Here is a 12,799-nt window from a genome sequence, read left to right as displayed (position 1 = left end):
CTCCTTTAATGTATACTTTTTTAAAGATAGAAGTGACAAGAGTTAGCATCCTTGCCTTGTTCCCAGTCTTAGAGTAAAAGCTTTTCAGTTTTTCACTGTTGAGTATGATGTTAGCTGTGGGCTTTTTATATATGACCTCTGTTATGTTTAGGTAATTTCTTTCTGTTCCTAATTTGTTAAGAGGTTTTTTTTTAAATAATGAACAGGTTCTCAATTTTGTTAAATGCTTTTTCTGCATCTGTTGAGCTGATTATGTGATTTTAGTCCTCTATTCTGTTAATGTAGAATATCACATTAGTTGATTTTCGTATGTTGAACTATCCTTGCATCCCAGGGATAAATCTCACTTGGTCATGGTATATGACCCTTTCCATGTGTTGTTGGAAACAGGGGAAAATCTTCATGACATTGATCTTGGCAATGAGTTCATGGATAATGACACCAAAAGCACAGGCAACAAAACAAAAAATAAACAAGTGGAACCACATCAAACCAAAATCTTCTGCACAGCAAAGGAAACAATCAACAGAGTGAAAAGGTAACAACCTACAGAATGGATGAAAATATCTGCAAATCATATATCAGATCAGGATTTAATCTGTAAAATATATGAGGAATTCTTACAACTCAATGGTAAAAAAAATTAATAACCTGATTTAAAAATGGATTAGGAACTGAACAGACGTTTTTTCAAAGAAGACATATAAATGGTCAATAGGTATTTGGAAAAATGCTCGATGTCACTAATCATCAGAGAAATAGAAATGAAAACCACAATGAGATACCACCTTATACCAGACAGGATGGCTATCATCAAAAACAAAAAACAAATGCTAAGGAGGTGGAGAAATTGAACCCTTGCTGTTTTGTCTCTCTAAACCCTCAAATCCTCGGCTGGAATCACCCCAAAAGCAGTGGCAGGGGGACTTCCCACAAGGGAGTCTCCAACTGTCCTGAGATAGGGCTGGCTGGAATACCAAAGAAAAAACTCTAAGCTCTAGGGTGATCAGTCCAAAGAATTTATTAGGGAAACTTCCTTACAGAGGGCTGCAGCAATTGCTGAGAGAGAAAAGGAATGTTCTACCCAGGTATGTCTGCAGCAAGGGGATCAGAGTCTGGAGTTTCTATGACAGTTTGAGAAATTTGGCTCAGGGCTGGGGGCCAGTTTCAGTGTTTTGAGCAACAACCGAAATACCTTTCTCAGTGCTTGGGAATGTTCAAGGCCCAGTTTGGGTTCAAGCCTGCTGAGAAAAACATATAGCCAGCTGGGTCACAGAGCAGTCAAGGTACTCTGTGATTTTCAGTAAGGGCACAGAAAGAAAGTGGGAAGAACTGGGTTACCATACACTTGCCCACTGTTGCTGGGAATGCAAAATGGTGCAGCTGCTATGGTAAATCCTATGGAAGTTCCTCAAGAGATTAAAAATATAACTACTGTACTTGCTTTGGCAGAACACACACTAAAATTGGAATGATACAGAGAAGATGAGCATGGCCCCTGTGCAAAGATGACATGCAGATTTGTGAAGTGGTCCACATTAAAATAATAATAATAATAAATAAATAAATAACAAGAACAAAAAACTACTATATGAGTCAGCAATCCTACTTCTGGGTGTTTATCCAAAAGAACTGAAGCCGGGTGCAGTGGCTCATGCCTGTAATCCCAGCATTTTGGGAGGCCAGGCAGGCCAGGAGTTCAAGACCAGCCTGGCCAATATGGTGAAACCCTGTCTCTACTGAAAATACCAAAAAATTAGCCAGGGATGGTGGACCACACCTGTAATCCTGGCTACTTGGGTAGCCAGGGCACAAGAATTGCTTGAACCCATAAAGCAGAGGTTGCAGTGAGCCGAGATCACACCACTGCACTCCAGCCCGGGCAACAGAGTGAGACTCCTCTATCTCAAAAAAAAAAAAAAAAAAAAAAAAAAAAGAATTGCTATCAAGATCTCAAATAAATATTAGTACTCCTATGCTCACTGCAGCACTATTTACAATAGTCAAGATGTGGAAACAAACTAAACGTCCACCACCCCTGGCTAATTTTTTGGTATTTTCAGTTGAGATGGGGTTTCACCATGTTGGCCAGGCTGGTCTTGAACGCCTGGCCTGCCTGGCCTCCCAAAATACTGGGATTACAGGCATGAGCCACTGCACCCGGCTTCAATTCTTTTGGATAAACACCCAGAAGTAGGATTGCTGACTCATATAGTAGCAGTCCACCACAATGAATAAAGAAAATGTGGTTTACACATATAATGGAATACTACTCAGCCTTAAAAGAGAAATCCTGTGATTTGTGACAACATGGATGAACCCTGAGGACATTATTCTAAATAAGCCAGTCACAGAAAGACCAGTACTATATGATTCCACTTTTAAGTATGAGGTATTTAAAATAGTCAAATGTGGCCGGGTGGGGTGGCTCACACCTGTAATCCCAGGACTTTGGGAGGCCGAGGGCGGGTGGATCAGAAGTTCGAGACCAGCCTGGTAAACATGGTGAAACCCCATCTCTACTAAAAATACAAAAATTAGCTGGGCATGGTGGCAAGTGCCTGTAATCCCAGCTACTCGGGAGGCTGAGGCAGGAGAATAGCTTGAACCCGGGAGGCAGAGGTTGCAGTGAGCCAAGATTGCACTGTTGCACTCCAGCCTGGGCAAAAAGAGTGAAACCCCATCTCAAAAAAATAAAAAATAAGAAAAATAAAATAGTCAAATTCATAGAATCAAAGAGTAGAATATGGTTACCAGGGGCTGGGGTGATGGGAAAATAAGAGGTAACTAATAAAAGGCCATAAAGTTTCAGTCAAGCAAGATGAATAAGCTCTAGAGATCTGCTGTACAACATTGTACCTATAGTCAACAATAATGTATTGTACACTTAAAATTGTGTTCATTATCCTTAGCAAACTAACAGAACGGGAACAGAAAACCAAATACCGAATGTTCTCACTTATAAGTGGGAGCTAAATGATGAGAACTTGTGGACACAAAGAAAGGAACAACAGACACTGGGGCTACCTGAGGATGGTGGCTGGGAGGAGGGAGAGGATCAGAAAAAATAACTATTGGTACTATGCTTAGTACCTAGGGGACAAAATAATCTGTATAACAAACACTGTGACATGAGTTTACCTGTATAACAAACCTGCACATGTACGCCTGAACCTAAAATAAAAGTTAGAAAATAATAAGAAATGAATAAAATGTATTACAGCCTAAAAAAAAAAGTTGTTTTTTTTTTAAAGAGGTCGGATGTTGACCAGGACACACAAGCACAAACTAGAAAAAAAAAAAAAAAATGACAAAACTCAAACAGAGGATTGGAAATCAACTTTGCCAAGATTTGGATGCTTCTGCCATAGTTATTATAATAAGCAGACTGAATTGAATCATGTCATTTATTTTAAACTAATTGTAAGACAATGAATATAAAGTTCAAAAAGGTGTAAGCAGGTGATGGTTTTATTGGCAAACTTATAGGGGTAGTGTATGAAGTCATTTCAAATAACAGATTAAGTTGCTTTCCTTACAACTAAAAGCTTCAATTACTACATTTCAACTTTAATTTAACATCACATCTACATGTGAAGCTTTAATTTCAGGTCTGGAGCAGCTGTAAAATGAAAGTTACCACTCCATTCTAGTCCTTGGATATCAGTATATTCCCCTTCACCTTCCACCCTGCAATAGTAGAAAATAAGTTTTCCATTAACAAAGATGAATAATTTACAGTCCAGATATAAGATTTTCTAGCATAATATATACTATGTCTGAAGATTATATCCTCTACTTTCAAGCTTTGCTTTTAAACCCAGCATCCTGCTTTCATATCCTACCAAAAAAACAAACAAACCAAAAAAAAAAAAAAAAAAACCACATACTATTCCAAACAAAAACAAACAATTATTTGGTGTCCAAGATTTTAGGATCACATAATCTAGGTTCACACAAAACCAAAACAATGAGTTAAAAAAATGAAAAGTTTATATCGGTTATCTAGCTTAATTACTTCACTTATTCAACAAATATTTTTTCACTATCAATGATGTTTGAGGTGCTGTGCCACCGCACCTGGCCTCCAACAATTTTTAGAAACTATATCATAAAAGAATATTTAGAATTAACTAAATATAGTATTTAAGCAGCTGGGCACAGTGGCTCACGCCTGTAATCTCAGCACTCTGAGAGGCCGAGGCAGGCAGATCACTTGAGGTCAGGAGTTCTAGACCAGCCTGCTCAACACGGTGAAACCCCGTCCCTACTGAAAATACAAAAAATAGCTGGGTGTGGTAGTGCACATCTGTGGACCCAGCTACTTGGGTGGCTGAGGCAAGAGAATCGCTTGAACCCGGGAGGCAGAGGTTGCAGTGAGCCGAGATCACTCCACTGCACTCCTGCCTGGATGACAGAGGGAGACTCTGTCTCAATAAATAAATAAATAAATAAGTATTTAAGCAAACATACCAGAAAATAATCTTTTAGAAATGCAGTGATTTTTTTTTATTTTAAGCTTACCTATTTTCATTGAAATTTCCAGTATACTTTGCCCCATTTGGGAATGTGTAAGTCCCCAGTCCATGAAACATATTATCCTTAAATTGTCCTTCATATACTGCTCCTGAAAAATGCTCAAGTCTTCCAAAACCATTCATCTGTTTGTAACAAAGGAAATTACCTTAGAAACTAATCTTCAGTTTCCCAAGAACCTTTAAAAAATGTACAAATATAAGTCTATCATCTGCTAATTATTACTTAACCAACTTTGTATTGTCCTTTATTTCCATAGTATAAAGACAACATTTTTATCATTTTCCTTCATCTGTATCTATCTGTGAAGCCCAGTAAATTAAATGTTCTGGATCTGGGACATTTGAACATCAGGGGGTCCATGATGAAGATAAATAGGGGTCCTCAAGATACCCTGAATGTATCAGAAATCTTAAAGGGCAACCAGTTTAGTTAGTTCAGGAAACCAGTACAAAGTAGTTGTTAAGAATTCAAATTTGGATTTGAGCAGACCAGGGTATACTTTCCTGTTTTATCATTTACTAGCTGGGCAAGAAACCTGAGCCTGATTTTCCTCATTTGTAAAATAGAGTATTAATGGTACCTATCTCATGAGGTTATTATGAGGATTAAATGAGAAAATTATGTAACGGATTCAGCTTTACTCAATGAATAGGAGATGAGAAAGAAAGTAACGATGATTAGCTTTCTACAGTGAGTTTAATATTACTCATAAGTTAATATATGTTAATATGATCATTTGTTATTTTTATTATATAGTCTACTCATTATAGGAGTTTTTGATTAATGGTGAAATGCCTGGAATCACTAAACCTACAGGGTTATTTATCCACTGCCAATATTAAAAACAACAATAATACCTTGTCATCTTTCCAGCTTCCTGTGTAGACAATCCCATTAGGAGTGGTATGAATACCTATTCCATTTCTCTCGTAGATTCCAGAAGATGTTCTTGTACAGTCACCATCTAAACAGAGGAGAAAAACTGAAGATTATAAATGAGAATAGTTATGTCTGGGCCTAATCGCAACTACACCTCATGGGTTTCTTTGGCTCCCTAGCACTGAAACCAGTGAGACCAGAGATGAGAAAATCCATGGACACAGAACATCTTGTAACAATTGAGACTCAAGGGCCAGGAAGATTGACAGATCCCATAGGTTTCCAAGGCATTGGAATTTTGATTTTAAAAGCTCTTTATCTATTAGGATTTCTGTTATTTTAGTTAATAAAGTTAATATCCTAATAGTAGTTTTATAAAATTTAACAGTCTCAGTTTTTTATTCCTAAGCTATTTAATTTTCTATACAGAAAAAGTAATTGAAGCGTATACTTACCATACTTGTCTCCATTTGGAAAGATAAAGCTGATCTTATACACTTCTGAAGCTGTTTTAAAAGATTTAAAAACAGTGACATAAGTTTACTTTTTTTTCGATAGAGGCAAGGTTTCACTACATTGCCCAGGCCAGTCTCAAACTCCTGGGCTCAAGCGATCCTCCCGCCTCAGCCTCCCAAAGTGCTGGGGATGCAAATGTGAGCCACCACACCCAACCAAGTGTAAACATTCTTATGTCATAAGACCTATACCCAATGTGCTTTCAGCACTATCCAAATGGACTTACTTCTCAAGATCACATCATATCATGATTACTTGGTATTTCCATTGTCTAATGTAGGGTCCCGGGGAAATAAACAATTTTGCCTAGATGATCTCTTTTAAAATTTATTTATTATGATAGCTTTATTAATATATAATTCACACACCACAAAATCTACCCTTTAAAAAAATACAATTTGATTTTTTTAGTATATTCAGAGTTGTGCAACTATCATCACAATCTAATTTTAGAATATTTTAATCATCCCAGAAAGAAACTCTGTACACATTAGCAGTTACCCATTATGATTCCCCTCAAACACCCCTCACCCCACAACCCCAAACCCCTGGCAACCACTAATCTACTTTCTGCCTCAGGGATTTGCCTATTCTGGACATTTCTTATAAATGAAATCATATAATATGTGGTCCTTTATGTCTGGCTCGTTTCACTTAATGTTTCCAAGGCTCATCCATGTTGCATCGTGTATCAGTACTTCATTCCTTTTTATAGCCAAGTATATTGTATAAATATGTTGTACAGAAACAGCATATTTTGTTTATTCATTCATCAGTTCATGGACATGTAGGTTGTTTCCAGTTTGAGGCCATTATGAATAATACTGCTATAAACACTGATGTACATTTTCAAAACATACAGCTTCCTAGGAGTAAAAAAAAAATTGGTGTACAGATTTTTGTGTGGATATGTTTTTATTTCTCTTTGGTAGCCCATATGATTTACTGATTGTCCCACAGAGGTAAGGTGGAGTGAGGAATCTTTAAATTGGCAATAGGAAGAAATGGAAAATAAAGATAGCAAGTGGGGAAGGGCTGGTAGGTCCACACAGAATGAGACTGGAATGGAGACCAAGTGAAAAAGGAAGAAAGAGGACCGCAAGACTGAGGGGGACTCTGGGCCTCAGATCCCTGGACACTTACTGGACTAAAACTAGAAACTGTATTTTCCGATACTGAAGAAAACTTATGTAGAGACGGTATGCAGGCCCATCCTTCAGAATCACCTGAGATGCTTCTAAGTTTCTTCTCTCTACCCCACATCTACTGAATCAGTCTTTACGGGTGGGGCAAGGGAATTTAAAAATTAATTTAGGTACCACTTGAGAAAGGCTTGGAGGCTCATCACTGAGGAAACAGAGTTAACACAATAGGTAGAGGACTTAAACTGTAACATCCTCAGAGAGAAAGGGAGAGTATTAGTATCCTTGAAATAGGAACAGGTGATTACAAAAAACAAAAAACAATTAGCAATCCAGGAAATGAATAATATAATTGGTGAAATAAAACTTCTTAGAAGGGATGAAAAGCAGAATAGATACAATTGAAAACAAATTAGTGAACTGGAACATTAGGTTGAAAAATGTGCTTAGAAAGTAGCACAAAGTGTGAGTGAGATGGCTGGAAAAAAAATTTTTTAATTAAAAAAAAAGAAAGTAGCACAAAGAATTTTAAAATGATGGAAAGTGGATCCAAAAGGCTACTGTCAGTCTAATAAGAATTCCAGAGGGAAAGAATAAGGGATATTTGAATAAATAGCCAAATTTTTCTCAGAACTGAAGAAAATGACTGCTTGGACTACAAATGGGAACTAAGCAAAATCCCACACCTAGACAGGTTACAGTACAATTTCATGACATAAAGACCAAAGGCCAGCTAGGCTAGTTAAAAACAAGCAAACAAAAACCAGATTACCTACAATAAACTACAAAGGACTGACATTAGCAACAGTGGATTCTAAAAAAAAATGGCACTATGTCTTTAAAATTCCGAGACAAAATTATTTTCAACCTAATATTCTACATCCAACGAAACTATCAATCTAAAATCATGGAAACTGGCAGGCACGCTGGTAGGATGAATTACTGGCTCATGCCTGGAATCCCAGCACTTCGGGAGGCTGAGGAGGGTGGGTTGCTTGAGCCTAGGAGTTCGAGACCAGCCTGGGCAACATGGTGAAACCCATTCTCCACAAAAAATACAAGAATTAGCTGGGTGTGGTGTTGCATGCTTGTTGTCCATGCTACTTGGGGGCTGAGGTGGGAGGATCGCTTGAGCCCAGGAAGTGAAGGCTGCAGTGAGTCCGATCACACCCTGCCCTCCAGCCTGGGTGAGACAGCAAGACTCTGTCTTAAAAAAATAATAAAATAAAAAAAATTAAGTTTTAAAAATAGAATCTGGTGGCTCATGCCTGTAATCCCAACGCTTTGGGTGGGTGAGGTGGGAGGACTGCTTGAGCCCAGGAGTTTGAGACCAGCCTGGGCAACATAGTGAGATTCCATCTACACCAAAATTAAAAACTCAAAAAGAAAAAAAAAGAATCTGTAACTAAAACTCAGGTAATATCAATATGGAAATGGTGTGGAGGATAGAGAGCAATCTTGCTAGAATTCTGATCTCGTTTAGGGGTTAAATATAGACACTAATTAACACTAAATCTTAGAAAAATCTGAATTTAGTTATGTTTGCTTATTTTTTCCCCATAATTTCTAAGATTTGGTTGTGGATAAAGGGTGAAGTATGGTGGTATACAGAAATTGCCATGTGTGCTCATTAATTAGTTATTTACATGTCTGCAAGATGTGAAATTCCAAGAGAGCAGGGACACAGAGCTACTTTCTTTCTTTTTTATTTTTTAATTTAATTTAATTTAATTTAATTTATTTATTTATTTATTTATTTTTGAGACGGAGTCTCGCTCTGTCGCCCAGGCTGGAGTGCAGTGGCTTGATCTCGTCTCACTGCAACCTCCGCCTCCCGGGTTCACGCCATTCTCCTGCCTCAGCCTCCCAAGTAGCTGGAACTACAGGCGTCAGAGCTACTTTCTAAGTGTTTAACTAATGATAACTAACTAGATTACCAGATCTGCTTGTAGTTTCCCACAGATGCCATGCCGTACTCTGGGTGGAACACCCTTCTCTTCTTTACCTGGTTAACTGCTATTCATCCTCAAGAGTTGGCAAAATAGAGTGTAGTAGTTAGGGGTTCATGCTCTGGCATCGGACTACCTACCTTTGCATCCAGACTCCACCATTTTCTCTGACCTTGGACAAATAATTATCTTATGCCTCAGTTTCCTCATCCTTAGATGGGGCAAATCAAGTAAATGAGCTAATCTAGTTAAAGCACTTAGCCCAGTGTCTAAACTCTGTAAATATTAGCTATTGTATTCTTGTAGCCCCAGCTCAGGTATGAGCTCTCCCACAAAGCCTTTCTTCTCATTACTTGTCAACCTCAGACTCCTTCAGGAACCCCCACGGCACTCTGGGCCTATTCCTACTGTAGTACTTAAGGTTCTATTAAAACCATGCTTTTGTATCGGGATCCCCTATCCCACCCAGTTCCTCCAGGACACGGATGGCAGATTAGTCAAATCTCTTCTCACCCCACTGTCCGACTCCGTGTTTAGTACTAATAGTAACAGAACGTCTAGTGAATGAAGGGCACTTCGGAAGGAATCGTTAAGTGCCTATGAAGCAGAGCATTAAACGTAATCATATCAGAAACTGGACTGTTTTCAATTGCCGCTAAAATGTTCTACATTCGAAACTTGGGAACGTCAGAGCTAGAGGGAACCTCACAGAGACCACCCGGCACCATAGCGGAAACTGAGGCCCAGGGAGGTTGGCACGCGCCTCGGGTGTCTCAACAGCGAATTAACAACAGAATCAGAGCTAGATTCCCAGACCAGGGGTTCCCCCGTGCCCCTCGGCTAGACGGTCAGGAAATATATCACACCCCCACAGGAGTTACCGGGAGCCAAGCAGGTTCTGACTCCACGCTAGTTCGACTTAAAGGAGCTCTTCTCTGCCCGGGTCGTTAGGAGGAGGGACACTCACTTGGCCGAGAGGTGTTAGAGAGATCTTCCAAACTCTGCGACTCCCCCTGGGCGGCCAGCTCTGCGGCCGGGAGAGAACTAGGCGCTAGGACAGCTCCAGGTGCGACTTGGTTGCTGGGGCGACCGGGCACCTCTCACCCGGAAGCGAATACGCGAGGGGCTGTAGCTGAGCCAATCAGAAGGCGCCGGGACTGTGCCGCTGCAGCTGGGCCACCGCAGGGCTGCTCCAAGTGAGAATCGTGAGGGTGGCCAAGTCCAGTTTGGACCTCTGACCCTTGGGCAGCACCTCCCGACAGCCGGCTCGGGACCCAACTCTGCGAGCCAGGTACGTCTTCCACTTCTGCGGACAAGTGATGCGCGTTGTGCGCACGGTGTGCGCGTCACCCTGTTTGTCAGTGTGTCTGCCGCCTCCTGCTCCAGGAGTGGTCGGGATCTGACGAGCATCGCGGCCCAGTGTGTTTCATCCAGTCTGCCTGGGGCCGGTGAATCTGGACCAGCAGGATCCCAGGCCCTGATACCGAACCAAGGCGGGCTCTGCCGCTGAGGTTGTCCACGCTCAAACTGCAGGTTGGGGCCGGGGGGGGCGGGGCGTGAAATTCAGTCTTGGAGCAGGCTAAGGGGTTGATTGAAGGGATCAGGCTCCGTTCTCTGACTCCGTCTGTGTGGCTTTTTTGGGGAGAAGGGTGGGGACGATGTGAGTTCGAAAAAGGATACGAGATCTGGATATCTGGATGGAGCTGGATATATTGTGATCAGTCAGAGATCTGCCTGGGAGGAGAGTAGTGTGTAGTCACTTTTCAGTGCCTTGGCTATCAAACAAAGAATACTCTTACAGCCAAACTTAGGTCCCTGTATCCATGGTGAAGAAAGATAGTTGGAGTCTTCCCGGGCTAGATGGAATAGATAGTGGAATCTAACCACGTGGATTATACAACCTAATTCCTATTCCCTTGAAAACTCTGGGAGAGTGGTATTGGACACCATTACAGTCAGTAAATCTTCGTTTAAAATGTTAAGCGCATATCTCAGATCTAGTTGTAAAAGTAACATTTTCTGGGTTGGTGTGAGACAACTTGTTTTGATTCAGCGTAAGTATCCTCTTGCTTTTTCCTAATGTTTCTCAGTACACAAATTTACCTGGGCTGCATGGTTTTTGAGATGAAGTTCTAATCTAACTGATTTGTTATTTCATTTCCCTAAATTTTAGAAATAATAGGTAATTATTGGTGCACAACCTTACAGAATTCAGTTTGACCTGTTATTTTTCTTGCCTGTTAAGATTTTAATGACTCTACATTTTTGTGAGTAAAGTTGACGTTTGAACAACATGGGTATGAACTACCCGGCTCCACTTACAGGTGGATTTTTCCCAACCCAACACAGATTGAAAATACAGTATTTCAGGTCGGGCGCGGTGGCTCACGCCTGTAATCCCAGCACTGTGGGAGGCCGAGGCGGGCGGATCACGAGGTCAGGAGATCGAGACCATCCTGGCTAACACGGTGAAACCCTGTCTCTACTAAAAATACAAAAAATTAGCCGGGCATGGTGGCGGGTGCCTGTAGTCCCAGCTACTCAGGAGGCTGAGGCAGGAGAATGGCGTGAACCCGGGAGGTGGAGGTTGCAGTGAGCTGAGACTGCGCCAGTGCACTCCAGCCTGGGCGACAGAGTGAGACTCTGTCTCAAAAAAAAAAAAAAAAAAAAAAAAAATACAGTATTTCAACTAGGCACAGTGGCTCATGCCGGTAATCTCAGCACTTTGGGAGGCCAAGGTGAGACGATTGCTTGAGCTCAGGAGTACGAGACCAGCTTGGGCAGCAAAGCGAAACCTCATTTCTACTAAAAAATGTTTAAAGTAGCTGGGTGTGGTGGTGCACCTGTGGTCCCAGCTATTCAGGAGGCTGAGGCAGGAGGATTGCTTGAGCCTAGGAGATCGAGGCTGCAGTAAGCTATGATCGTACCACTGCACTGCAGCCTGGGTGATAGAGCAAGATCCAGTCTCAAAAAAAAAGAAAGAAAGAAAAAAGAAAAGACAGTATTCCTGGAATGCAAAACCCACATACAGAGGGCCAACTTTTCCTCTATGCAGGTTCTACAGGGCTGACTGGAGAACTTGAGTATCCGTGGATTTTGGTATACATGGGGGTTCTGGAACCAATCCCCTGTGTATACCGAGGGATGACTATTTCATGGCTCATTCTGTCAATTTCTTCCGGATGTCCTTTAAAATCTCAAAGAGGCCTTACCCAACCACTCTATCTAAAATAACTGCCTCGGGGGTTTTTTTTCCTTGATAGCACTTAAGTTATAATATATATCTATTTGTTTAATGTCTGTGTTACCCTCTAGAAGGTAAGCTTCATGAAGCAGAAATTTTGTCTTTTTTGCTGTTATATCCCCAGGATCTGGCACATAATAAGTGCTCAATAAATATTTGTGGAATGAATAAATAGATGAACAAATCTCCATTCCCACATAAGTCATTTTTTCAACCTTCAATCATTCATTCCACAAATAGATACTGAATTCCTACCATATGCTAGACACTGTGTTAAGGGTACAGTGGTAATCAAAATAGACATAGTCTTGTTTTCAAAGAGCTTTCTGGGAGTAGAAAGGAGAGACAAACTTAAGATAAACTCTGAATACATATGTATAATCATCAGCAATTTTGAAGAAAGGAATACCTAGGAAGACCTAGTTTAATATACACATATTTGTGAGTTTCCCAAATTTTTTCTAGCTTTTGATTTCTAATTCCATTTTGGTTGGAGAACATAGTTCATATTATTTCTTTCTTTTTACATT

General features: G+C 40.5%; 2 protein-coding genes and 1 pseudogene across 8 annotated transcripts in view, besides 1 other annotated feature; 2 read left to right on the top strand and 1 right to left on the bottom strand.

Annotated features, from left to right (window-relative positions):
- RNU6-851P (RNA, U6 small nuclear 851, pseudogene) lies at positions 1,437-1,543 on the top strand (annotated as a pseudogene).
- On the bottom strand, positions 3,394-10,127 carry MORN2 (MORN repeat containing 2). Its single transcript, NM_001145450.3, has 5 exons — positions 9,993-10,127; positions 5,874-5,924; positions 5,397-5,503; positions 4,525-4,661; positions 3,394-3,690 (listed from the first exon to the last, which is right to left on the bottom strand). The coding sequence occupies exons 1-5, from the start codon at positions 10,048-10,050 to the stop codon at positions 3,588-3,590; spliced, it is 456 nt and encodes a 151-aa protein (NP_001138922.2). The 5' UTR covers positions 10,051-10,127; the 3' UTR covers positions 3,394-3,587.
- Positions 9,976-10,960: an enhancer, noted in NCBI's record as "H3K27ac-H3K4me1 hESC enhancer chr2:39102285-39103268 (GRCh37/hg19 assembly coordinates)". NCBI's record gives its function as "activates a minimal SCP1, AML or CMV promoter by ChIP-STARR-seq in naive H9 embryonic stem cells {active_cell/tissue: H9 hESC(naive)}" and the evidence as "EXISTENCE:reporter gene assay evidence [ECO:0000049][PMID:30033119]".
- DHX57 (DExH-box helicase 57) overlaps positions 10,169-12,799 on the top strand; it is a 78,206-nt gene continuing 75,575 nt past the window's right edge. For 5 of the 7 annotated variants that reach the window (NM_001329963.1, NM_198963.3, XM_011533156.4 and 2 more), the window contains exon 1: positions 10,169-10,316. The gene's annotated coding sequence lies outside the window, so the exon portion shown is untranslated. Of the gene's footprint in view, positions 10,559-12,799 lie in introns of all 7 variants that reach the window. The other 2 variants (XM_011533154.3, XM_011533155.3) reach the window with 2 other exon arrangements.

This window comes from Homo sapiens, chromosome 2 (assembly GCF_000001405.40).
Source record: "Homo sapiens chromosome 2, GRCh38.p14 Primary Assembly".
NCBI lineage: Eukaryota > Metazoa > Chordata > Mammalia > Primates > Hominidae > Homo > Homo sapiens.
The sequence above is the reverse complement of the archived record's forward strand: the minus strand, read 5'-3'. Positions and strand labels throughout refer to the sequence as shown.